This window comes from Homo sapiens, chromosome 13 (genome assembly GCF_000001405.40).
Source record: "Homo sapiens chromosome 13, GRCh38.p14 Primary Assembly".
Classification (NCBI taxonomy): Eukaryota; Metazoa; Chordata; class Mammalia; order Primates; family Hominidae; genus Homo; species Homo sapiens.
This window is the reverse complement of record NC_000013.11, coordinates 29,238,739-29,266,445: the sequence shown is the minus strand read 5'-3', so window position 1 is coordinate 29,266,445 and position 27,707 is coordinate 29,238,739. Positions and strand designations below refer to the sequence as shown.

The following is a 27,707-nucleotide window of genomic DNA, read 5'->3' as shown; positions in this document are numbered from 1 at the left end:
GTCATCGTTTAGTTTTTACTTTGGCTTCATTGTAAGCATTAATCTCTGGGTTTGATAAAGTTTGAAAGGCTGATAGTTAAGTGGTTAGGACTGCTTGGGTTCAGATCTTGGCTCTGTCTCTTACTTGTGTCTGACTTTGGACAAGTTGCTTAATCCCTCTGTGCTTCATTTTTCATCCTTAAAATGGGGATAAAAGTGGTACCTAATTATTGGAATTGTTGTATGAAAGGAGTCATTAGAGTAAAGTGCTTAGAATATTGCCTGGAACATATCAGCACTCAGTGGTAATGCCACTGATATCACCCCCATTAACACAACATGGAGCCTTAGTCACAGCCCATCAGTCTTTTGACTTCCCTTTTCTTCCTGCCACTGGTCCTCCTATGGCTTCGTATCTTTCCAGGGCGATAACTATGATCACTCTCAGTGGTCTGGCTCGGAAGAGGCAACCCTAGAGAATGGCGGTGCTTTTTCCATCTGTCTTTACTCAGCACCCTAAGTCCGAGTGAAAAAGAGAGAAACACACAGGATGCTGATTTGGTTTTGATGTGTGCCCCACCAAATCTCATGTTGAAATGTAATCCCCAGTGTGGAGGTGGGCCTGGTGGGAGGTGTTTGAATCATGGCAGTGGATTCCTCATGAATGGCTTAACCCATCTCCTTGGAGATAAGTTCTCATGAAACCTGGTTTTGTAAAAGTTTGTAGCAGACCCCCTCCTTGCTCCTGCTTTTGCCATGTAAGGTTCCTGCTCCCGCTTAGCCTTCTGCCATGAGTGAAAGCTCCTTGAAGCCTCTCCAGAAGCTAAGCTGATATCGGTGCCATGCTTCCTGTAAAGCCTGCAGAACCATGAGCCAATTCAATCTCTTCTTCTAAATTTATAAATTACCCAGTCTCCAGTATTTCTTCATGGTTATACAAGAATAATCTAACACGGAAAACTGGTATTGAGGAGTGGGGCATTGCTATACAGATACTGAAAATGTGGAAGCAGCTTTGAAACTGGTTGACAGGCAGAGGTTGAAAGAGTTTGGAAGGCTCAGAAGAAGACTGGAAGACGAGGGAAAGTTTGTAATTTCTTAGAGACCGTTGAAATAGCTGTGCCCAAAATGCTGATAGTGATATGGACAGTGAAATCTAGGCTGACAAACTCCCAGATGGAAATGAGGAATGTATTGGAATCTGGAGCAAAGGTCATCCATGTTACAACTTTGTAAAGAGCTTGGCTGCATTCTGTTCATGCCCTAGGGATGTGTGGAAGTTTGGAGTGATGATTTATAGAATTTGGTGGAAGAAATTTCTCAACAGCAAAGTGTCTAAGGTATAGCGTGGCTGCTTGTAACAGCCTATTGCCAGATGTGGGAGCAACTAAATGACTTAAAGTTGAAATTCATATTTAAAAGGGAAGCAGTGCATAAAAGTTTGGAAAATTTGCAGCCTGGTCATGTGGCAGAGAAAAAGTAAAGAGGAATTCAATCAGACTATGGAGCAACCACTTGCTAGAAATATCTGTATAAATAAAAGGGAGTCAAGTGCTAATATCCAAGGCAATGGGAAAAAGACCTCAAATGCATTTCAGAGACCTTCATGGCAGCCCTCCCATCACAGGCCCAGAGGCCTAGGCGGGAAGAATGGTTTTGTGGGCCAGGCCCAGGGTCCTGCTGCCCTGTGCAGCCTTGGGATATTGCTCCCTGCATCCCAATCACTGTGGCTCCAACCTTGGCTCAAAGGGTCCCAGGTACAGCTCAGGCTGCTGCTTCAGAGGGTGCAAGCTGTAAGCCTTGGCAGGTTCCATGTGGTGTTAAGCCTTCAGGTATATAGAAGAGTGCAAGAGTTGAGGCTTGGGAGCCTCTGCCTAGGTTTCAGAGGATGCATGGAAAAGCCTGGATATCCAGGCGGGAGCCTGCTGCAAGGGCAGAGCCCTCACGAAGAACCTCTACTAGGGCAGAGCCAATGGGAAATGTGGGGTTGGAGCATCCACACAGAGTCCCCAATGGGGCACTGCCTGGGGGAGCTATGGGAAGGGGGCCGCCATCCTCCAGACCCCAGAATGGTAGATCCATTGGCAGCCTGCACCTCTCAGCAAGGAAAAGCCACAGGCACTCAACTCCAGCCCATGAGAGCAGCCTTGGAGACTAAACCCTGCAAAGCCACAGTGGGGGAGCTACCTAAGGCCTTGGGAGCTCACCCCATGCACTAGTGTGCCCTGGATGTGGGACATGGAGTCAAAGGAGATTATTTTGGAGCTTTAAGACTTAGTGACTGCCCTGCTGGGTTTTGGATTCGTGTGGGGCCTATTGCCCCTTTCTTTAGGCCAATTTCTCCCTTTTGGAATGGGAATGCTTACTCAGTGCCTATAATTACCATTGCATATTGGAAGTCGATAATTTGTTTTTTATTTTACAGGCTCATCAGTGGAAGGGACGTGCCTTGTCTCAGATGAGCCTTTGGACTTTGGACTTTTTTAGTGATGTTAAAATGAGTTGAGACATTTGGGAGACTATGTGCAGGGGATAATTATATTTTGCAATGTGAGAAGGACATGAGATTTGGAGGCCAGGGGTGGGATGATATGGTTTGGATCTGTGTCCCCACCAAATCTCATGTTGAAATGTAATCCCCAGTGTTGGAGGTAGGGCCTGGTGGGAGGTGTTTAGATCATGGGGGCAGATCCCTCATGAATGGCTTGGGCCACCCCCTTGGTGATGAGTGAGTGAGTTCTCATGAGATCTTGTTTTGTAAAAGTGTGTGGCACCTACCCCTACCCCTCGATTCTCTCTCTTGCTCCTGTTTCTGCCATGTGATGTGCCTGCTCCTACTTTGTCTTCTGCCGTGAGTAAAAACTCCCTGAGGCCTCCCCAGAAGCTGAGCTGATACCAGTGTCATGCTTCCTGTAAAGCCTGCAGAACTGTGAGTCAATTAAACCCCCTTTCTTTATTAGTTTCTTAGTCTCAGGTATTTATTTATGGCAATGCAAGAACAGCCTAACAGAGACGCATTTCACTACTCCCCATTCATCCAGAGAAAATATTAACTTCTAACTAAGCCAGAAGGTGGCCTTGGGTCTTTCTCAACACAGAACTCCAGGAGCCCAATAAAGAATTCCAGCCCTAGACCAGAGACCACACCCTTGTCTATACCTAATGCCCTGATCAAGAGGAAGACATACTTCTATAGGACAGGGGCTGGGAAGAAGATGGTAACTCTAGGTCCACAGGAACTTACTGGATTCCTACTATAGGGTCTAGTCTCCTTGAGCTCTTCTGGACAGGCTTTGAAAGCAAAGTCTTTAACAGTAATAAGAGTGCCATATAGTACAGTCAAACACCATAGGCTCTGCCCAAGTCCCATTCCTGCTTTGAAACATACTAATAACATTCTTCTAAGAAAACAAATTAATCCTCTTTTGTTAAATGGCTTGTTTACCTTCCGTCATTAGACTTATCTGAGAATTAAATGAGAAAGTGCATATAAAGCACTTTACAAAGTGCCTGGGACACAATACATGTTAGCTGACACCATCAGTACCAGCACCAGCAGAAGCAGCTCTCTTTCATCAGCTGTCATTTCTTCAAGATTCCCATCTGTCCCACAAGACCCAAGATGGCACCATATTTTATGAGATCCTGTCTCATGCAAGCCCCTATAGCAAGCCTTATGGAAATATCTTCAAGTCATCCCTAACTTCACCAGATGAACAATTCAAGCAAATGATTTGTGCAAGTGGCAGGTATTGACACTGACAGTCCTCCCCAGCTTCACAAGCTTCTACTGCTCTAGGGGGTAGTTTTCCCAGGGCCTGACTGACTGAGGACCTCAGCATCTCAGTGTCCCAGAGCTAGTCATAATTCCTTCAAACTTACTTTTTTTTTTTTTTACACTAATCACAATTTAATCATTATAGGGGGGAACAAAAAGTTCTCCTGCTGTTTATCCATTCCCTCAACCACCCAGACACTCCAGAGAAGCTTCCATATCTCCTCTGGAGTCCACTTTAATATATGACAAAAAGAGTCATCTTTCTTATTTCTTTTCAGGAAACAGGGGAAATATGGGTGCAGATGAACTGGTAAAATGAGACTTATAGTCCAGGGACACAAATGTAAAAGAGAAAGGAGGCCCAAATCTGAGAGAGCTGTGGCATTCTGCAACCACAGGCAAGTCTAGCAGTTCTTCACAGCCCAATTAAATGCCACCTTCTCTATGATTCAGTTTCCCTGTGGATAACAGAACTACTTTAAGAAAGACAGAGCTGCTTAACGAAGAAGGCAAAGGCCAGGAGTGCTAACACTGACTCTCTCAAAGTTATAGAAGTAATCACAGAAGATCAAAGCCAGCATCAGCCAGCCCAGGACTTCTGAACTTCTGGCACATAAATGGCTTAAAGCTTTCTTTTGATTTGGGAAATTTTCTTTAATATTTGCCCAGTCACATTCACATAGGAGAAAATTTAGTCAAATACTGACGGAGGTTAGTTACTTAAAAGACCAAAGGCTAATATATCAAGAGACCTTTGAGTAATTAAAGGCAACTTTTTACCATTCCTCTTTTATATCAATTAGACCCATTGTAATAAATCCCTTTTCCCTATCTGAAGTACTTAAAAGCTTGAGCCATCATCCATGAACACTCTAACTTTAGCTCATCATTGTCTGAATATCTTAGTAGTTAATACCTTGGGGAAAATATTTAAACTGGAGCATTTTAATTATATGCTTAGTGTGGAAGTTGTTAAAAGATAACACCATCTGATGTGAACCCAATTTAAATTCTGCTGAAGTTATTAATATGGTATAAAATTATAGAAATGATCAAGGGCTTATATAGTAGCTTTTATTAATAGAGCAATAAGAAAGTTTAGGTGCTCTATTTCTGTAGCTTGGATTTTTTCTGTTCTAAAATAGTCTGCTTCTGTGTCAGAGATCTGATTAGTTATATTGAAGCTTCTGAGGGACTTGTGGATTATTACATGTCAGATACTGCTTTAGTCAGCCACTTTTGAAAGCAAACCAAGTTCAAATCCTGAGAAACCAAGTCAAATGTTGAAAAGGGGATCACTGTACCTGAGCCCTAAACCCTTTTCCTGTATATGTATGAACACTTCAGGGACTGCGAGAAGGAGTCAGATTGTACCATCTGGTTGAGATTTCTTGCACTCTTAAAAAGAATCCTTTGACTTAGCTTCTGGGGAATATGAAATCTTTAAAGGAGAAGAAATTGAACAGTCTCCTAGGAAATAGACCGCATATTGGCCTTAAGGAGGTATGTCAACTTGTAAGTCAAAATAGTATTTATTCCTTGAACTTGAAGCTAGTTTCTCTCCCCTCTTGGGAGCTAGAAAACTCCCTCTCTTCTTTCAGGGTCCAGGCGGATGATAATCTTCCTTTTTTTCTTGTTCAGCACACTGATTTTATTGCCAGACACAGCTGGAGGACTCTTTCCCTTTAGCCTGGAGTTTTTCAACAGCAGCACTACCCACATCTTGGACCAGATAATTCTTTACTGGGGGCAGGAGTGCTGCCCTGTGTATTGTAAGAGGTTCAGCAGCAACCCCGGCCTCTACCCACTAGATGCCAGTAGCAATCTCCCTTTCTCTCCATACCCAAGTTGTAACAATTAAAAAATGTCTCTAGACTTTGTCAAATGTCCTCCAAGGGGAATACTGTCCCGATTAAGAACCACTGCTCTAGCTGAATAAAGGACTGAAAGATTTATCCAAAATACAGTCCTTACTTGTCTCAGTGTAAAACGAGACTGGTAGCATAAAAAAATCCTGCTGAGTTAGCTTTCTTGCTAAAAGCATTCACTCATTTTGTTGTTCAGTGTTAATTCTTTAGCTACATGGGGACTATATAGGTATGTGTTTTCAATATTCAACCATGTTTTAACCCATTTATGCCAGAGGCTGTAAATTCTTTTGTGTGAAAAATCAGACATTGGCAATGACATTGAGCGATAGGATATAAATAACTCCCACAAGCTTAGCGTTCCAGTAATGGAACACTAGGCATAAACGGGTTCATGACTGTTCAGTAGTAGTGCCTCTTCTGCTTTCCATATTTATTTTCTGCTCAGTCTCAGTCAGAAACTGGGGAATGGGACTGAACTTGCCTGATTCTGACAGCCTCGGTCCAAAACCTTAATCTTCAGGAGCTGTACTAAAGTCCAAAGAAAAAATATCTTGAAAACATAAATAGCAACTGATTTCAACTGAAATTGTGTTGTGTTCTATTGGGAAGCCCAGTGGAAAACAGATGGTGCTGCCTTTCAAACAACTTAAATCATCATGGTTTAGTGGAGAAGATTTCATTCACTGAAAGCATCCTATGGCATAGAGAAATAAACAGTTTTAAAAGTGCTAAAATTACTAGACTCATCTATCAAAACAAAGTGAATTCTTTTCTTTGCTCCGGCTGTTGGCTTTGATGAAAGCAGAGTGTGGTCACTGGGTTCCATGGTCACCGGGCACCATGGCAGGTGCTGCCACAGCACTGGGTACACAGCAACTCTGGGACCGTGACCTGCCTCAACCTGTGTTCTCATTTGTAACATCAGAAAAGCAAGCACTGTTGGGACTGAAAAATCACGTATAGAGTATGTGACACGTGGTACACACTAAAGAAAGGTTAGGCTCCCCTCTCCTGGCCTCTGAAAGTTTATGATGATCTTTTCCTTGAAAGTCTTCTTTAATAGAAAATGTCAAACATCAAGAGACCTATTTTTATTCATTTTTATTAGTAACGCTTTGATGGGTGTCTGCTGTCCCAGCTATCATCCATGCAAAATAAAATCGCAGACATCTTAAAATCTATCATAAAATCATTTGAGCAAATAGTATTCCAACTATTTTGGCCAATTATCATAAACAGGCTAATAAATAAACTTTACCATCTTTTTAAAGCCTCTAAATGTTTGGGTGATATAAACAAAGGCTTAACTTTATCCCTTTCCTGAGGGCAATTTCCCCAAGGAAGATGCCAGCAGCTTCAACACGAAGTCTTAAGCAGGGAAGAGACAGGTGGGTCTCTTTGCCTCTGAATTTTATGACTCTGATATTGCTCAGTCCCTCGTGAACTTGAATTCTTCTACACACTCTTCTCTCTCTTCAGTTGCTTTCTTCTTGAGGTGCTCCAATAAAGGCATATCTCCTGCTGGTTGATCATGAGGGAGCCACCCAGGCACAAGCAAACACTTCAGTCACCCTGTCTTTCCACAGGGCAGGGTGACCGACCAGCTGTGCGGGGGCAGAACTATCACACACATTCTACCTTCTCTCCACTCTCCGCCCCCACCCTGAGCAGTGGTGGGCTAATAGTTTCTTTTTCACTTTTTGTTTTTGTTATTGTTTTAAAAAATACATGCAATTGAAGAATGTTTGTAAGTGGAAAATAAGTAAAAGTATCTATTATTCATAGAACTTAGAACTCATAAACTAAGGTTGATATGCTGAAGCACTTTAATCAATAGCAAGACCTTTATTAGTCTGGATTCTTTATTCATCTGAACACATGGCTGAAGGGCAGAGAATTCTGAGAAAGCTCCTTGACTAAGTGGTGGTGGCTTTGGGCCCCAGGTAGGTCAGTGGGGTGATAACCTGAACCTTCCTTGTTTCCCACCCTGAACAGTGAGACACCAAGGCTGTATACACAGAAAGGAAAGAGTGGGTCAGTCTGCAGCCCTCAGGCTTAAGCAGAAGAGAAATAAATTGTTTCCTAAAATATTTATGAAATGCAACATCTGCTAAGATCTTCTTCTCTAAGGAAACTTCTGGTAAGTTAGGCAGCAGATAGAACAAAATCCTGGGCTACCCCAAAAAAGAAAATGTTTATTTTAAATAATGGCAAATTCTGAACATACATGTAATCAAGGCACGTGTTGTAGGTTGTATGCTAGGATGTCTCCCAAACAGCCATGTCCCCTGGTGGACACACCCTGCAGAATCCAAGACTGTGGATATGATGAATTTGACTCGTGGGATTAGGTTATGTTCTGTGGCACAGTTGCCTTTAAGAATGGGAGATGACCTAAGCACATGAGTCCTTGAAAAGCACAGCATTTTTTTTTCCTCCTGGAAGCAGAAGAGAAAGTTGAAGATTCAAAGCACAAGAAGAATTCAACACACTGTCGCTGGCTTGAAGGTGGGGGACCACATAGCAAGGAATGCAGGCAGCCTCTAGGGCAAGCAAAGGGTACCTCAGTCCTACAACTGCAAGGATGTGAATCCTCCCAATGATCTGAATGAGCTCAGAAGTGGATTATTCCCCAGAGCCTGGAGATGAGAACTCATTCCATTCAATGCCTTGATTCCAGCCTTTGAGATCCTGAGCAGAGAACTCAGCTCTTCTGCATGTGAGCTACTCAATAGGTGTTTTTAGCAGCTAAGTGTGTGCTAATTAGTTAGGCAGCAATAGAAAACTCCTAAAAATTCTTTCCAGTGCTGGTCCTACATAGTGCTGAGTAGAGGTGGCTTCAGGCAAAGAGCACCTGCAGGAGAGGGACAAGACTGTGAGCCCTCAACCTGCAGTGCCCAGTGGCTCATGGACTCTTGAGGCCACCCTGGCCCCCTGGAGCCATCTGCCTAGTGGAAAGCACATGGATCCACTACTATATGCTAGGTGGTCTCAGAAAAATTTCAGAATCTTTTTGAATCTAAGTTTTCTCCTCATCTGCAAAATGGGTTCTGGTAAAAATGAAAAGAAATAACCTAAAATATCCAGCAGAGTCCCTGACATGTCAGTAGGTATTCAGTGAACGTTACCTTCCTTCCTTCAGTCTCTTTGCCAACCTCCTCTTTCTAAGATATAAATTATTTCCAGTTGACGACCTTTCAATGATTCCCCATCTCTTATAAAATAAAATCCAAACTCCTTTTAAGATCAAATAAGGCCACTCCCTCCTTCACGTTAAGTTCCAACAACACTGGATTGTTGATCATGCTGTGAATATATCATGATTTTTTATTCGCTCTACCTGGGATGCCTTTCGCATTCCATGCCTGCCAGGTGAACTCTGTTTCATTCATTAAAATCCAGCTCAGGCATCAAAACCACAGGAAACTATTCTAGGAAGGTAGCAGAAGATGGTGATGACATCTTGCTCTGAGGCACCAAAGTCCTCTGCACATACAGCATATGGCCTTTCCACACCCCATGTGGTGGCATTAGGGAGTTTGGACTCCATTCTGAAGGCAACACGAAGCCACCGCAAGTTTTCAATAAAGGACTGACATGGTTATGTGTACATTTTGGAAAGATGACTAGGGCTGTAGAGTGGGAAAATGGATTTGAATAGGGCAAGACCAAGGGCAAGGAAAGAATGAGAACCTGGTCCAGTAGGTTGATGAGACAAAGGAAGGGTCCCAGCTAAGCAGTGTCCCAGGGCAGGGAAATGCACCTGGGAGATGGCGACAGCAAATATACATATATGTATATAGTAAAGAATACCGAGGTCCACCTTTTATTTTGCAACAATGTAGGTCAGGCCAGAAGAAGGCAACCTCCAGGAGGAAGTACCTGGAAGCAGGTGAGAGGAGCTGATTCTACTGTTGACAAGTCATTGTTGGTTTGAGAATACCTGCTTGGATAAGGTTTTAACGGTTGAGATATGCTAATGAGCCCCGATTTGGAGGAGGAACTCCAAGTCATGGAGGGTCCTGAATGAGGTATGAAGAAAGTTCATTTAAAGCAGAGCAAGCTGGTGTAGGATCAATGAAGAGCAAACCACAGCAATTAGAAACTACTTGTTAGAGATGCTGTTTGTTTTTGCAAAGTGGCAAACACTCTCAAACATTAGAATTAAGTCTTGTATTTATTTTCTCCTCTGTTTTTAGCCAATGAAATATGAGTCTATCTTGTTCACAATGACCTCAGTGCCAGCTATATGTGCAGACCCTGAAGAGATTTAGGACATGAAAGTGTGACGATAGGAAGGAGGCCCTGCCCTTGTCCCTCCGTGGTGCTTTGCCCTCCTTGCCCACTCTGGGCTCAGCCCACGCCCCTCTCTGTGGCCCCTCTGGCTCTGAGCTTCATCTCACAGACCTCGTCTTACAGGGCTTGGCACCTGGCCCCCTTCAGTGTCTCAGTCCTGACCACTGCGCTTCCCTGATAAGCCAGCCCAGGATGAGATGCCCCACCCTGGCCACCAGATTCCTCTCTCCAAGTCACTGCATGGGGACACAGACAGCCCACACTGGGCACCAGCTCCCCTTGGTTCATGGCCCCAACCACCATTGGGATAAGCTCTGTATCACGACAACACAGCTGGGATTCCTAACAAGTTCTTTTCATGTCTGATTTATCATGTCGGTATTATGCTAATACTCCAGTGCCCTTCTAAGATGACGCCACTGTCATACCGCCTGGGGCCTGGGACAAACAGGAACTAACATTGACCAGAGTACGGATGCCTGTCAAACTCTTTTATTAAGCACCTACATAGATGAACTCATTTAATCTGTGTAATCTTCTCATTTTATAAAAGCAGACACCAAGGCTGAGTCATTTGAACCAGGCCAGATAATAAAGGCAGTAGATACAGGGTCAGACTTCAAATTCAGGTCTGTCTGCTCCAAAGCTGGAGTGCTTTCAATAACTCAATGCAGCGTGTCCAGAAACTGAAGGCTATTCCTGAATGCTGACTCTCCAGTGGCTGGGCCCATTAGCTCTGGGTTCACCTCCTAGGTAGCACTGTCCCTGCTCCTGGAGTTCCCATGACCTTTCAGTCACCCCCTCCCCCACCCCCCAGGCTGTGATCAACAGCTCAGCCTCATAGATAGGAGTTGTGAGTCGAGTCAGCAAACCATGAAACTGTGCTCTCCTATCTCCTTCCACTCAAAATGCAAGATGAAAGTGCACTCAAATTCCAAAAGGTAAATCCTAGGATCTTAAAGTTGGTCCTTATGTATGTTTCTTACAGTGTTACTTAGTCTTTGATTTTATTTTCCAGACAAATGTAAAACTGCCATAGAAAAATGCCACTAATGAGCCAAAGGAAATGTAGAACCAATATTTAATATGGGTGAGTTCTTTAGTTTTGTGTGTAAATAGTCAAAATGTCAATTTTGGATGACAGAATGACAGATGGACCGGAGGGGGCTGTAAAAAATCCCAGTGGAAACTCATCTAACAGAGGAGGAAATCCTCACTTAATCTTGTCTCAAATGGAAAAACCCCATGATTAATCTCAGAAATAACACCATGCCTCTATCTGAACCCTTCCGTCTCTGCTCTGCTCAGAACACGAGAGCTGCAGCTCCCTTGGCCACTTCTGCTTACATCTGCCTCCAGCTAAGTGGGGTGCAATTACAGGGGCTGCTGTCAGAAAATGTTCACCGGGGAGATACTTACTGCCGATGCATGTGTGCACCGCTGGGAAAAATCACTTGCTTATAAGCTAGGGGATATTCAGAACTTGCCATCTTTCAGGAAAAAATCACAGGGTGCATTTAATTCAAGTAAGCCACTCAGAGAAACAAGCTTTTAAAAAACGATGGCGTGGGAATTATAACTTTAAAAGTACAGAATGAGGGAAGAATGAGAAAGCAAAAAAGCAAGAAGTCCATATCTGTGTAGAGTTGATTACTAGCATGGCTGGCACTTGTATATTTCTGGATCAAGAGTACAAAAAGATGAAAAACTGCAGGAAGAGGTGAGGTGGATGTAATCAGAGCTGGCAGTGTTTTCCTGTTTCTGTGAAGTGCTCCTCTATTTCTTGTCACAAGTAAAGAATCATTGGTGCAGAGAAAGCTAAATGAATTGGAGGTTTATGAGATGGGAGAGGAGCTTACTTTTAAGCCAAGAAGGGATTGGAAAAATTCTTCGTTAATGGTATGTTTTCAGAATAGAAATCCCACTGCCTATGCAAATGAAACACAGAGAAGGCTATGAGTTTCTGGCATCTAGCTTTCCCAGAACAGCAACACGGCCACGTGGCACACATCTTCCAAGTCAGAAACCTCAGTGTTGGTACGACTTGTTGCTGTACTGTACCAAGGTCCATCAAGTCAACTTGATTGACAAATGCCTCTGCCTGTTCCTGCAGAAAGTATTTTTGAAATCCATTTCCCCACTCTATCCCACAGCCTGGGTACAGGTCCAGGCCATTCTGCCTCTGTCTTCCTGTGTGCCTGTTTGTTCGTTGCCTCCTTTACTCACTCAATCATACATCTCATTAAAAAGAACATCCTCTGTGCCTCAGGACAGAATGTAAGCCCCAGTGGAGCTAAGCATCTAAGAAGGAAGATATTACACACAGAAGAACACTTAAAATTATTCACAATTAGCCATAATTGCAACCCAACCCTCTCATCCTCATCATGGTCCAGCTTCCCTATCTTGTGTCACTTCTTTTCCAGAACCTATCTCACCTTCTAACACACTATGTCATCTTCAGGCTTATTATGTTTACTTATTTACTTAGTCTTTGATATGGTTTAGCTGTGTCCCCTCCCAAATCTCATCTTGAAGGAATTCCCACGTGTTGTGGGAGGGACTCAGTGGGAGGTAATTACATCATGGGGGCAAGTCTTTCCCGTGCTGTTCTCGTGATAGTGAATATGTCTCATGAAATCTGATGGTTTTAAAAAGAGGAGCTCCCCTGCACAAGCTCTCTCTCTCTCTTTGCCTGCTGCCATCCACGTAAGATGTGACTTGCTCTTCCTCGCCTTCCATCATGATTGTGACGCCTCTCCAGACATGTGGAACTGTGAGTCCATTAAACCTCTTTTTCTTTATAAATTATCCAGTCTTAGGTATTTCTTCATAGCAGTATGAAAATGGACTAATACGGTCTCCTCCTGTTAGAATGCAAACCCTCCAGGAATTCTGTCTATTTTATTCACTGATGTATCCCATAGCAAGGACTCAATAAAATTTGTCAAATAAATATAGGAATAAATAAAAGAGCTCAGGACAGACGCTGGGCTGGAGGTGGAAAATTGAGAATGGGCAGTAATAGAAATGGTATATAAAGCCACAGGAGGATGTGATTTTTATTTTTTTATTTATATTTTTAATTTTTTTTTTGAGATGGAGTCTTGCTCTGTCACCCAGGCTGGAGTGCAATGGCATGATCTTGGCTCACTGAAACCTCTGCCTCCTGGGTTCAAACGATTCTCCTGTCTCAGCCTCCCGAGTAGCTGGGATTACAGGTGTGTGCCACCACACCTGGCTAATTTTTGTATTTTTAGTAGAGACAGGGTTTCACCATGTTGGTCAGGCTGGTTTCAAACTCCTGATCTCAAGTGATTTGCCTGCCTCGGCCTCCCAAAGTGCTAGAATTACAGGCGTGAGCCACTGTGACCAGCCGGGGATGTGATTTTTAGAGAGAGAAAATAACCCAGGATGAGGCCCTGAGAAGAAAAAAAAAAAAGGCCAAAAATGTAAAATGACAGAAAAGTCCCAAAGAGACACCTTTAGTATAAACATCCAATTCTCTTTCTAGGTTACCCACTGGAAGAATGTTCTCCCTACTTCTATTAGTCCATTTTCATGCTGCTGATAAAGACATACCGGAGACAAGGTAATTTATAAAAAAAAAAGAAGCTTAATGGACTCACAGTTCCATGTGGCTGGGGAGGCCTCACAATCATGGCAAAAGGCGAAAGGCAGGTCTTACATGGTGGTAGACAAGAGAGAATGAGGGCCAAGTGAAAGGGGAAACCCCTTATAAAACCATCAGATCTCGTGAGACTTATTCACTACCATGAGAACAGTATGAGGGATCTCGTGAGACTTATTCACTACCATGAGAACAGTATGGGGGAAACTGCCCCCATGGTTCAATTATTTCCTACTGGGTCCCTCCCATAACACGTGGGAATTACGGGAGCCAAAATTCAAGAAGAGATTTGGGTGAGGACACAGCCAAACCATATCACTGCTTTAGGGTGAGAAATTCTAGATGTTGGAAGGAGTTTTCTGGCAGCACCTAAAACCATGTGTCCTCCCCTGCCTCCTACATTTTCTAAACATGCAATCCCTGCAGCAACGCCTCACTCACTGTGGCCAGGACGCATTTAGACCTACTCCAGAAAAGGTTAACTATCAGGATGAGGCCAAAAGGGTTATGGGTACATCTTATTATCATTTGGTTATATTATTTGTGAATAAGGCCTAGTTTAATGACTCAGCCAGAAAATATAATAAGTCCACGGGAACGAGTATTTCATGGTCTAACTAGGAGCCATGACTTGGAAGTACTTCTCCACTAATTTGTAGAAAGGGGATTACTTAATAGTAATTATTAAGATACGATTATATTATAATAGTATTTAGATAGTAATTATAAAAATACTATTACCTGTAAAGTTAGTTTGGACAGGAGAAGAGGCCCTGGCGTCTGGAAGGCAAATCAGTTTTATTTCTATGCCAAGCTTGAGTGCAAAGTTCAGAAAGATTCCAAGTGTTTTGTTCTAATTTCTCACTGTAAACTCAAAAGAGCATGGTGGTTCCTCCAAAAATTAAACAAAATTACTGTGTGATCCAGCAATTCCAGTCCTAGGTATATACTCAAAGAACTGAAAGCAGGGACTCAAATAGATATTTGTAGACTCGTGTTCATAGCAACTTTATTTACAATAGCCAAAAGGTGGAAACAACCCAAATGTCCATTGACAGATAAATGAATAAACAAAATGTGGTATATGCACACAATGAAATATTATTCAGCCTCAAAAAGGAAGGAAATTCTGACATATGCCACAACATGGATGAACCTTGAAGATACCATGCTCAGGAAAGAACAAATACTGTATCATTCCACTCATAGGAGGTACCTAGAGTAGGCAAATTCATAGAGATGAGAAAAGTAGAATAGCAGTTCATAGAGATGAGAAAGTAGAATGGCGGTTGCCAGAAGCTGCGGGGGAGGGATAAATGGGGAGTCAGTGTTTAATGGCACAGAGTTTCTGTTTTGGATGATGAGAACGTCGAGGTAGATGGTGGTGATGGTTGCACAACAATGTAAATGTACTTAGTGCTACTGTACTGTACACTTATTAGGTTGGTGTGAAAGTAATTGAGGTTTTTGAAAAACTGCAATTACTTTTGCACCAATCTAATAAAAATGGTCAAAATGTAAGTTTTAAAAATGGTTTAAAAACCTCATGCCCATGCCAGATGGTAGGCATTTATTATTATTATTATTATTATTATTATCATCATCCCATTTTCACAGGTAAGAAAGCCAAGGCTGAGTGATATTAAGGGGCTTGCCTACATAAGTACAGAGTTTGGATTTGAACTTCAAGGTTTTAACCCCAAAGCTTCTGCTGTTAATTTTATGCTAAATGATCTTGTTCTCGTATTCACTCAGCAATCTTCACTAAAGCCACAATCACAACTTTATATTATAAATTACCATCTGATCAGTTTCTTCTTTTTCTACACTTTGAACTCTCAATGAAAAGAGGGAGCATTTCATGTGGAGCAAGAGAATCAGTGACAATGTCTGATAAACCACAAACCCTCTGGGTGATACCTGTTCCCAACAGCAGTATCAGTGCTGCTCTGGTATTTAAAACTTTGGTCAATATAGACAGTCTGCTCTGCTCTATGGGGACTGCACATCTTCTGAGCACTGAAGATTATTGTTTTTTGCGGGTTGGTGTTAAATTGAAATTTACGGGTAATAAAAACTAGAAATTCTTGGTACTTAACTAAGAAAATTTCCAAACCATAATGTTAAATTTGTAAAGCAGTTTATCCTGAGAGACTAGATGTGACAACACTAATCGCTATTTTTCAAAATGAGAAGTCGTATGTAAGCCAAAATTTCTGAAAGCATAGAATCAAAATCATTCCCTCTCCCCTGTGAAATGCGGAGAGTGGACAAAAAGGTGAGAATTCTACTTTTACGGTGTGATACTCAGGTCTGCCTTCTCTGCCTCTATGTGTAGTATTTCCCTCCGGAGTGTAGCTCCTGTGAAATGCTCCAAGATGATCTCGGATGCAAATTCAGCCATGCAAGAGTGATGAAATGCTTGCATTATTTCCAAAGATGAATTAAGACAATGAGGCAGCTCTTCATTTGTCAAGTAAGCAAGAATCATATTTTTCTGAATGGTCATAATCGATAGCACTGTTCTGAGGCCATTAAGATGGCATGCTGATACTGAAACTCATGTTCTTGTTCCAAACCATACAACTGAGCTCCTCGGGATTTTGATGACTGAATGAACATGCCCTGGTCACAGCAGAAAGACGAGAGCCAATGACACCACAACATAATCAAAATATTTCAACTTGAACATGTTATTCCTTCTTTTTCACTGTTTGAGTATTATATGCCACCTGGTTTTCCTTATCCATTTTATTTTATTTTATTATTTTTTAAGAAAGAATTTAGACTTTATTTAAACTTGTTTTAACTACTTTGAAAATTACAGGGTATCTTTTGCTGTGCAGAAGCTCTTTAATTACATCTCATTTGTCGATTTTAGCTTTTGTTGCAATTGCTTTTGGTTATTTCATCATAAAATCTTTGCTCATGCCTATGTCCTGAATGGTATTGCCTAGGTTTTCTTCTAAGGTTTTTATGGTTTGGGATTTTACATTTAAATCTTTAATCCATCTTGAGTTAATTTTTGTATAAGGTGTAAGGATGGGGTCCAGTTTCAGTTTTCTGCATATGGCTAGCCAATTTTCCCAGAACCATTTATTAAATAGGAAATCCTAGTATCAGAGTGAACAGGCAACCTACCGGAATGGGAGAAAATTTTTGGAAAACACCCATCTGACAAAGGTCTAATATTCTGAATTTACAAAGAACTTAAACAAATTTACAAGAAAAAACAACCCCATCAAAAAGTGGGCAAAGGACATGATGAGACACTTCTCAAAAGAAGACATTTATGCCGCCAACAAACATATTAAAAAAAGCTCAACATCACTGATCATTACAGAAATGCAAATCAAAACCATAATGAGATACCATCTCATGCCAGTCAGAATGGCGATTATTAAAATGTCAAGAAACAACAGATGCTGGTGAGGCTGTGGAGAAACAGGAACACTTATACACTGTTGGTGGGAATGTAAATTAGTTCAACCATTGTGGAAGACAGTATGGTGATTCCTCAAGGATTTAGAACCACAAATACCATTTGACCCAGCCATCCCATTACTGGGTATATACCCAAAGGAATATAAATCATTCGTTTTGGCTGGGTGCGGTGACTCAAGCCTGTAATCCTAGCACTTTGGGAGGCTGAGGTGGGTGGATCATGAGGTCAGGAGTTTGAGACCAGCCTGGCCAATATGGTGAAACCCCATCTCTACTAAAAAAAATGCAAAAATTAGCCAGGCATAGTGGTGCACGCCTGTAGTCCCAGCTACTTGGGAAGCTGAGGCAGGAGAATTGCTGGAAGCTGGGAGTCAGAAGTTGCAGTGAGTCGAGATAGCACCACTGCACTCCAGCCTGGGTGACAGAGCGAGACTCTGTCGAAAGAAAGAAAGAACAAACGAACAAACGAACGAAAGAAATCATTCTGTTATAAAGATACATGCATACATATGTTTATTGCAGCACTATTCACAATAACAAAGGCATGCAACCAACCCAAATGTCCATCAATTCTAGACTGGATAAAGAAAATGTGGTACATATAAACCATGGAATACTATGCAGCCATAAAAAGGAATGAGATCATGTCCTTTGCAGGAACATGGATGAAGCTGGAAGCCATCATCCTCAGCAAACTAACACAGGAACAGAAAGCCAAACACCACATGTTCTCACTCATAAGTGGGAGATGAACGATGAGAACACATGGACACAAGGCGGGGAACAACACACACTGGTGCCTGTTGCTGGGGGAGGAGATGGAGAGTATCAGGGCAAATAGCTAATGCATGTGGGGCTTAAAACCTAGGTGATGAGTTGAGAGGTACAGCAAACCACCATGGCACACATATACCTAGATTACAAACCTGTACATTCACCACATGTATCCTGGAACTTAAAGTAAAATAAAATAAAAAATATATTTAAAAATTTTTTTAAAAAGAAAATTACAGGGTATCGTATACTTTGGATATGACGGATTTTTCTTTTTTTTATATTTCAATAAGTTTTTGGGGAACAGGTGGTTATATGGATAAGTTCTTTAGTGGTGATTTCCAAGACTGTGGTGCACCCATCAGCTAAGGAATGTACACTACATGCAATGTGCAGTCTTTTATCCATGACCCCCCTCCCACCCTTCCCCAAGTCTCCAAAGTCCATTATATTATTCTTACACCTTTGCATCCTCATAGCTTAGCTCCCGCTTTTGAGTGAGAACATATGATGTTTGGTTTTCCATTCTGGTGCTACTTCACTTAGGATAATGGTCTCCAGTTCCATCCAGGTTGTTGCGAATGCCATTATTTCATTCCTTTTTATGGCTGAATAGTATTCCATGGCATATATGTCACATTCTGCTTATTCACTTGTTGACTGATGGACATTTGGGCTGGTTCCACATTTTTGGAATTGTGAATTGCACTGCTATAAACATGCATGTGCAAGTGTCTTTTTCCTAAAACGACTTCTTTTCCTGTAGGTAGGTACCCAGTAATGGGATTGCTAGATCAAACAGTAGATCTACTTTGAATTCTTTAAGGAATCTCCACACTGTTTTCCATAATGGGTGTACTAGTTTACATTCCCACCAGCAGTATTCAAGTGTTCCCTTTTCACACATCCATGTTAACATCTATTATTTTTTGATTTTTTGATTACGGGCATTCTTGCAGGAGTATGGCGGTATCACATTGTAGTTTTGATTTGCATTTCCCTGATAATTAGTGATGATGAGCATTTTTTCGTATGTTTGTTGGCCATTTACGTATCTTCTTTTGGGAATTGTCTATTTATGTCTTTTGCCCACTTTTTGATGGGATTTTCTTTCTTCTGATTTGTTTGAGTCCCTTGTAGATTCTGGTTATTAGTCCTTTATCAGATGCATAGTTTGCAAAGATTTTCTCCGACTCTGTGGGTTGTCTGTTTACTTTGCTGATTATTTCTTTTGCTGAGCAGAAGCTTTTTAGTTTTAAGTCCCATCTATTTATCTTTCTTTTGTTGCATTTGCTTTTGGGTTCTTGGTCATGAAGTATTTGCCTAAGCCAATTTCTAGAAGGGTTTTTCTAATGTTCTAGAATTTTTATGGTTTCAGGTCTTAGATTTAAGTCTTTGATCCATCTTGAGTTGATTTTTGTATAAGGTAAGAGATGAGAATCCCGTTTCATTCTTCTGCATGTGGCTTGCCAATTATCCCAGCCTCATTTGTTGAATAAGGTGTCCTTTCCCCACTTTATGTTTTTGTTTGCTTTGCCAAAGATCAGTTGGCTGTAGGTATTCGGCTTTATTTCTGGGTTTTCTATTCTGTCCAATTGATCTGTGTGCATATTTTCATACCAGTACCATGTTGTTTTGGTGAATATATCCTTACAGTATAGTTTGAAGTCAGGTACTGTGATGCCTCCAGATTTGTTCTTTTTGCTTAGACTTGCTTTGGCTATGCAGGCTCTTTTTTGGCTCCATATGAATTTTTGAATTGTTTTTTTTTTTTTTTAGTTATGTGAAGAAAGATGGTGGTATTTTGATGAGAATTGCATTGAATTTCTAGACTACTTTTGGCAGTTATGGTCATTTTCACAATATTGATTCTACCCATCCATGAACATGGGATGTGTTTCCATTTGTTTGTGTTGTCCGTTATTTCTTTTGACAGCATCTTGTAGTTTTCCTTGTGGAGGGCTAAAAACCTCTCACTATTGCCTTTGCTTGACTCCATTGCTTTAAAACCCAAGTACCCTCAGCTATACACATTCAGAAACTTATTCCTAATGAACTACATCTTGGGAGAAAAGAAGCCATAGCAAGGTGCTGTTTGAGTTCAACTTGGTAGGTCTGTGGTTTTTCCTGTGACTCCATTAAGAACCTTCATTAATAAGCACACAAAATTCCCACTAACTGCTTGGGAGCACAGCCTCACAAAGGCTGCCCTGGCTCAGCCGGCTCTCTGGTCTCTGAGTTCTGTGTTGAGCAGCAACAGGAGATCCGGGGAGAGGAGCTCCATGGGCCTCTTCTGCTTCTGGGGACTATCCTAAGGAAACTCAGAAGATCCGAATGGTCTAGGTCTGCCTCGGATGTTGGACCCTTTATCTTCTCATAGTTTCCTTCCTTCCCTAGTGTTCTTGCCTGCTGTCCCTTTTAAATCCTTCCCCTGCATTCTGTCCTTCATAAATCACCCCCTGGGTCAGAACTTCCAAAACCCCAGTCATTCCCATACCACCTTTGCTATTTTTTTTGCCACTTCTGCTATTATTTACTGAATATTTAAAAATGAACTTGCTTTTTAAAGACTTAAATACATATTTTACAAAGGATTTTATATGACATAAATATACCAGGATCATTTTCTATGACCGGGATCATTTTCTAGAAGAAAGGTAATATTAAAATAGATGAGGCTGGGCGCGGTGGCTCACGCCTGTAATCCCAGCACTTTGGGAGGCCTAGGCGGGCAGATCACGAGCTCAGGAGATCAAGACCATCCTGGCTAACATGGTGAAACCCCGTCTCTTCTAAAAAATACAAAAAATTAGCCGGGCGTGGTGGCAGGCGCCTATAGTCCCAGCTACTTAGGAGGCTGAGACAGGAGGCTGGCGTGAACCTGGGAGGCAGAGCTTGCAGTGAGCGGAGGTCGTGCCACTGCACTCCAGCCTGGGTGACAGAGCGAGACTCCGTCTCAAAAAAAAAAAAAAAAAAAATTAAAATAGATGAAATACTAACAAGACCCTATTAAAATCCAGCTTTATGCCTAAGGCCTACTCTGTCTTTGCTAGAAAGCAAGATTAGCAAGTGATAGAGGGATCTTCAAAGAATGGCAACGTATATGAAGACTTTCTCTTTCATGAGTTATAAGGATGGAAGGAGACTTGAAGCAGGAATCCAGCTCTCAGGCTGAAGGTCCCTGTTATCCAGTGCAGTTGCTGTTTACTCAATGCCAGACTTTGGGAAATACCTCCCTTCCACACCAGCTCCTGATTAGAACATACCTTGCACTTTCTTGCCTACCCCAAACTCATCTTTTCCCAGGATTCCTTTTTCCCTGCAGATTTCTCTGGTGGAAAATGCCACCTGTTCCATGGCCTAAATACTATGGAGTTGAGTTAGAAGAAAGTTTTACCATCTCTGCTTTCCTCATTCCAACAAAAACCATGAATTATCTACCACCTTCTGGTAAAATTCTCCCCTGCTTTGAGTCTCATTGCTTAACATCTATCTACCTCTCCTTATCTCACTAATCCTGATGCATGTCTATGATTGTCCTCTCTTATTCATCAGAAACATGGGCATCAGGCTCATCTTTTAACAGCTCAAACTTAACCCTTTATAGGATGTTTTCAATCTCCAGACAAATGATACATCCAATACCCTAGCCTAATATGTCCTTTACATCTTCCACTCAACAGACTTTTACTTTTTTTTTTTTTTTTTTTTTTTTTTGAGACGGAGTCTCGCTCTGTCGCCCAGGCTGGAGTGCAGTGGCGGGATCTCGGCTCACTGCAAGCTCCGCCTCCCGGGTTCACGCCATTCTCCTGCCTCAGCCTCCCAAGTAGCTGGGACTACAGGCGCCCGCCACTATGCCCGGCTAATTTTTTGTATTTTTAGTAGAGACGGGGTTTCACCGTTTTAGCCGGGATGGTCTCGATCTCCTGACCTCGTGATCCGCCCGCCTCGGCCTCCCAAAGTGCTGGGATTACAGGCGTGAGCCACCGCGCCCGGCCCAGACTTTTACTTTTAATTTTACCTCATTCAACCTTAACCACAGTCAAGCACTGCACCTTGGAGCTGATCCATATTAGCCTAACTTCCAATAGCATGCGCCAACCATGAGCTCCCATCCTGCCAGTGTGTTCATGCCACTCACCTTACCAGTCTTTCACCTGGATCTCAGTGGCCCATTCAGTCTCCATGCCCTTCATTTCCTCCTAATCAGCCTCCTCTGCCCTCACTTGCTTCTCTCCTTTTCCCGGGATCCATGGTTGAAAACTCTTGTACTGTTCCATCAGTGGGATCTTCAGAATCTACCACCCTGTCCTTACTGAGCCCATTCTAGACAAAACCCCAGCCCTCGATCATGACTGTAAGTCTCCCTCTCTGCACCCATACTGCTGGAGGAAATGGCCCTTTTAGGTTTTATTTTCACACTGGAACTGCATTAGGACTGTGTGTCCCCAACTACAGGTGGGCCATCTGCACAAGCTGACCACTGTTCAACTCCCCACCCTACTCCTTCCAGAATGTATTCCAAAGTTTTATCTCCTTTCTCAAGCCATGGAGCTCCAACTCCCTTCACCTATTAGCCTCACCCTTCAACTGAGAATACTGAATAGGCATGTGCTACTTCAACTTCCTACCTTTACATCTGTAAACTTATCTACAAACATACTCATGTTCACCCCTGGTCTCACAGACTCACATACTTGTTCTCCTGGTCAAGGCCAATGCCTCTGTGTTGCTATTAATCCCAACTACTCCCACCTCCTCTGAAATACCATTCTATCAATTATCCCAGTGCTTTTCAACCCTGGCTATAAATTAGGATCATCTAGGGAGCTATACAAATTGTATCGATGCCTCAGCCCTTCTACCAGACCAGCTGAATGAGTTTCTGTTCTTCAACGGCATCCCCCCAACTGCTTTCTCCAGCCCAGGTGGTTCTCACATATAGCCAGGGTTGAGAACTACTGAATTGTTTCCTTACTCTCTTATATTAATATTTTCAACACTTCTCCTTTCTGGGCTCCCTACCCCAAGTGTGTAAGTATTCTCAAATCTGTCATATTGAAAAGAAAATCTTCCTTTAATGCTCTAAGGCTTCAAGGCTTTAGTTCTTGAATCTCTCAAAAGAGTAGCCCTTACTTGCAATTATGGCCCATTAATTTCTAAATCCACTACCAACTGGCTTCCGACCTTGCCAGTCTTTGAAAGCAAATGTCATCAATAGCCTCCACATTCGCACATTGAGGAGACACTTTTGGTGTCATCTTCCTGGGTCTTTATGCTGCATTTGCTGCTTTCCTTGCCTCATCTGTCTGCCTATTGGCTCCTGCGGCCCAGCTATCTTTTGGTTCTCCTCCCATATCCCCGATGTTTCTTCTGGGTGTGGAGTGGCTTTGCTCCCGCTTTCCTGTGCACACTGGTGCTCCCCAAGGCTCAGCTTCAGCTTTTCTCCTTCTACACACTCTCCCCTGAGTGGCATCCTTTCTTGTGACTTTACTCCTCTTATATGCTAATGACAATTTATATTTCTAGCTTTGATTTCGTGCCCCAGCTTTAAATGAGTAGATGCAAATACCCGTTGAAAATTTCTCCTCAAGCGTCCCATAGTATCTCAGATTCGATCTGTCTCAAACTCTCTTTGTACCTTTTCCATTCCTGCATTTTAAGAACTATTATTATTTTCTGAGTTTCCTATCTCAGTTACCAGCACCACCATCGACCATACACCCAGTCTCCTAAACCAGTGGAAGTTACTTGGGCTAGTTACTTAACCTCTCTGAACCAGTTTAATCTATAAAAGATGACAAATGGTACTATCTTCCTCATATGCTATCGTGAGGATTTAATGAGATAATACATGTAATGTACTTAGAACCATACCTGGCAATAGTAGGTACTCAACAATGTTAGCTGTTGTTATTAGACTATAAGTTCTTCAAAGGCAGGGATGATATCTTACTTATTTTTTCATCTTTAGGATCCAGCACAAAGGTGCTCAAGAAATGTTGATATGAAAAAAAATCAAACCAACCTGGCTAAGGGTTCTCTACACTGGAAATTACCTGTGGATAAGTTATGCTGTAGCCAGGGTGCTGGTACCATCCAAACAGATAATTCAGAGGAGACAGGGGACACCAAAATAATAAGGTATACAGTGTTTTTGAAATATTTATTACCAAACAATTGGTTTTAAATTATAATATAGTTCTATTAGCTGGATAGATACAAGGTAGTATATCCATAAATTGGAATACTACTCACAATAAAAAAGGAATGAACGAATGATACCTGCTACAAGACAGATGAGCCTCAGAAGCATTAGTGAAAGATGCCAGACAAAAGAGACCACATATTGCATGGTTCCATTTAGATGAAATTCCTAGAAAAGGCAAATTGATAGACAGTAGATTACTAGCTGGGGATAGAAATAGGGATTAACCATAAATGGGCATGAGGGCTTTTACTGAGATGATGAAAATATTCTAAACTAGATATGGTTATGGTTGAACCACTCAGTAAATTGACAAAAAGTCACTGAAGTGTACTTCTGAAACTGGTGAATTTTATGATATGTAAAATATATCTAGTTATGCATAAAGAAAATGATAATACAGCCCTATGAAATTACTTTTAAAACTCTCTAAACATTTTCTAAATATTAAAGTAACATATATCTGGGATGAACGCAAAGCTGAATGGGATGCCAGGGTGAGCGGGCAGGAAATGGGAGTGTGGCAGGCAAGGCAGCACATACAGTAACCCTAACTACAGCACACCTCTCAGAACCACAGCTCCCCTGCCCACCCAGAAATGGGCAAGGCTTTCTAAGGTGGATTGGACAGACTGCCAGAACGTAAGTCAATTCACCTAGTGTGCTAGCCCAACCTCCACCATCATAATGTTTTTCATTCACTTAAAAATCAGGTATCTACTGTAGACAGTGCACTATCCTAGATGCTCAGTACACAGAGATAAACTAAGACGGGGTTCTTGTCCAAGAAACCCTTGATGAACTTGCAAGAACAAAAAGACTTAAACAGAACAAATGCAATCAAATGTAGCATGTGATTTTTGAGAAATCTGTACTGGGTAGGCAGGGGTTTGAAGAGAGACTGAAATGTCAATTCCACCTGGGGGAGGGCGGCCGCTCTGAAAAAGCTTCCCAGGAGAGGTGACTTGAGAAGGATGAGAGAGTCAGTATAGTGTGCTGGCGTTGTGCTAGATGCTGGGAATGTGAGACCCCGTCCCAACAAAGCAAAAAGGTACTACGCAAGTAAATAAATGAATACCTCCTTATAAATAATATAATTACTGAGAAAGGGAAAGACTAAGATGTTTGTGTATGGAGGGGTGCTATATTGTGACAGGCATTTGATTTTCACTTAAAGTCTCCATGAAATTGTTCTGTCAATTTTAAAGACAAGAAAAGAGAAATGGACAGAGGTAAGTGGTTTGCTCAAGGCTGTACAGAAAACTAGGCTCAGAGCTAGAAATAACCTCTAAGCCCTGTAACCCAGGGCTGGGGCTCTTTCAACTCTGTTGAAGGGTCTTCCCCTTTTCATAATTTCACATTAGGGCAGTATGTATTTGATACATATTAAATGTAATATATGTTTTTACTTTTTCCTCTCTTCTTTGTCAATAATTAAAAACATAAAAACAAATATGCAATGTCATTAAAGAAGCTGATAAGGGCAGAGAAAGGAGAAATGAGGCATCTTTTCTCATTTAAAAGAAATATAATTTTTCTTTTTTATAAGGTTGAATTTTATAAGGTTTTCATAAAACTGTTACACATATTGACTTTTAACAAAAAGAAAAGCAAGTCAAAAATAAAGGGGTAGATTTGAGATAAAAAATCAAATGCAGTTCATTAAAAATACTCTTCATAAATAAAATCATAAGAAATGTAAAAACTGCATTTGTTTGCTAAGAATATGCATCCCACAATCAGGGTTCCACTGTTTAGAAATTTTAATCATATGAGATTACCCAGAACCAAATTACCCTCAGATGATAACACACTGAAATTTTTATAGTGCATTGAGAATCCAATTAAAGAAAAAATAATACTTTATTTTTTATCTTACACTGACAAAAGTAATGTGTCGGTATTACAACTGTGATTCACACAGGGTGAAGGCAATTGAAATAGCAAAAGTGGGAGTCAACATACTTGACTTTTGTAAACAAGGATCAGATATTCGATTTCACACTGAGTCTTTCCATCATCATTACAACAGCATTAAACTTGCAGATGGTTTCTACAGCATCACATCTGGTAGCTGGGGTTTTATATGCTTGAATTCTTACAGTTGGGAGAGATGGCTGATTAGACCACAGTTGTTGCCATACTCTACCCGTATGGGGACTGAGTTCATAACATCTCCATAGTTTGTTAGTATTAATGCTGGTAACCATATTTAGACAGTGCTAGGAAGGGTAAATTATGTCCTGATGAGACAGTGGCCATGTTAACTGACTCTCATGGCATCCATGTGTCTGTTTATTTATTGTGTGGTTGAAACGAAATTATTTCTCTTTCCAGAAGGACTTGCAATCAAAACCTGAAGAGGTTTTCTCTGACATTGACTTCAGCAGTTCTTCACCCTAGGAGGTCTACAGAGGGGCTTCAGGAAACCAGAAACCACATGCACAAAGAAGTATTTTTCTGAGAATTGAGCTTATCAGTTTCTGGGTTGTTGTTTTTTTTCCAGATTTTCAAAGGATTCTGTGAGGCCCCCAAAACTTGAGAACCTCTTGGATTCATCTCTCCACTCTGGTTTCTACCCCCAGAATCTATCAAGTGGCCTCACTCCTGGATTACCTCCAGCACAAGAGAAAGTGCATATTCTGTCTGCTCTACTGGGCCAGGGGAGTAGGGAAAGAACAGGAGACAGTAAGGATAAAATGAAAGCAACATAAATGGGCAGCATAAAATAGAAAAAGCAGCTATTGCATCTCCCTCATTTCAGATTATTTGTCAGATATGCCCTTCCCCACACATGTGTGTATGCATGTTCCATTACATCACAGTTCTGTCCATCTGCCCGTCCCACTAGACCATGAATCCTTGGCAATCAAGACCATAACTCTCATAGTACCCAACACAATAACTGCCCTGTAATACATTCCCAATAAGTATTTGCTGAATTTAATTGAAGCAAATTAATAGAAGAAGACATATTGTGCATAGTTCCTATAATTATATACAAACTGAGGCCCAGAACTGAACCATTAGCCATGGTATTGGTATCACTGTCAACTCAGACTCCCAGGCAACAGTGTAAATGGAATTGGAACACAGGGACCCTCTCCTCACCTCCGCCCCTTTGTTTCTCAAATGTACAAATTCTAAATAAAATAGAACAAAATAAATTTTGTTTGGCTTTAGAGAGTATGTGTTCTTTCTTCCCAGCTTTACTGAGGCATCATTGACAAAAATTGTATACATTTACTGTGTGATGTGATGTTTTAATATATGTATACATTATGAAATAATGTAATAATCAAGCTAATTAATACATTCACCACCTCACACAGCTACCTTTTTTGTGTGTCTGTGGTGAGAACACTTGGGGATGACTCTCAGCAAGTTTCAAGTGTAGAATATGGCACTGTTAACTATAGTCACCATGCTGTACGTTAGATCTCCAGAACTTATTCATCCTGCATAACCGAAACTTCGTATCCTTGGACCAAGATCTCCCCATTTACCCCACCCTCCATCCCCTGACAATCACTATTCCACTCTCTGCTTCCATGAGTTTGACTTTGATGGATTTCATATGTAAGTGAAATCATACAGCATTTGTCACATGTGTCTGGCTTATTTTACCTATAGCATAATGTAATCCAGGTTCATCCACCGTGATGGTTAATACTGAGTGTCAACTTGATTGGATTGAAGGATGCAAAGTATTGTTCCTGAGTGTGT

General features: G+C 41.5%; 1 protein-coding gene and 1 long non-coding RNA gene across 15 annotated transcripts in view; one reads left to right on the top strand and one right to left on the bottom strand.

Annotated features, from left to right (window-relative positions):
- Window positions 1-27,707, bottom strand: part of MTUS2 (microtubule associated scaffold protein 2) — a 685,985-nt gene that overhangs the window by 239,502 nt on the left and 418,776 nt on the right. For 3 of the 13 annotated variants that reach the window (XM_017020501.3, XM_011535022.2, XM_024449335.2), the window contains one exon: window positions 24,059-24,149. The exons of the other annotated variants lie outside the window; for them this stretch is intronic. In XM_017020501.3, coding sequence (XP_016875990.1) covers window positions 24,059-24,149 — 91 coding nt within the window. The remainder of the gene's footprint in view (window positions 1-24,058; window positions 24,150-27,707) is intronic. 13 annotated transcript variants of the gene reach the window in all.
- MTUS2-AS2 (MTUS2 antisense RNA 2) lies at window positions 15,892-27,067 on the top strand. 2 transcript variants are annotated; one of them, NR_185827.1, is made up of 3 exons: window positions 15,892-16,031; window positions 23,748-23,917; window positions 26,488-27,067. It is a non-coding gene; the product is annotated as an MTUS2 antisense RNA 2 (long non-coding RNA). The 2 variants fall into 2 exon arrangements; NR_046704.1 differs by lacking the exon at window positions 23,748-23,917.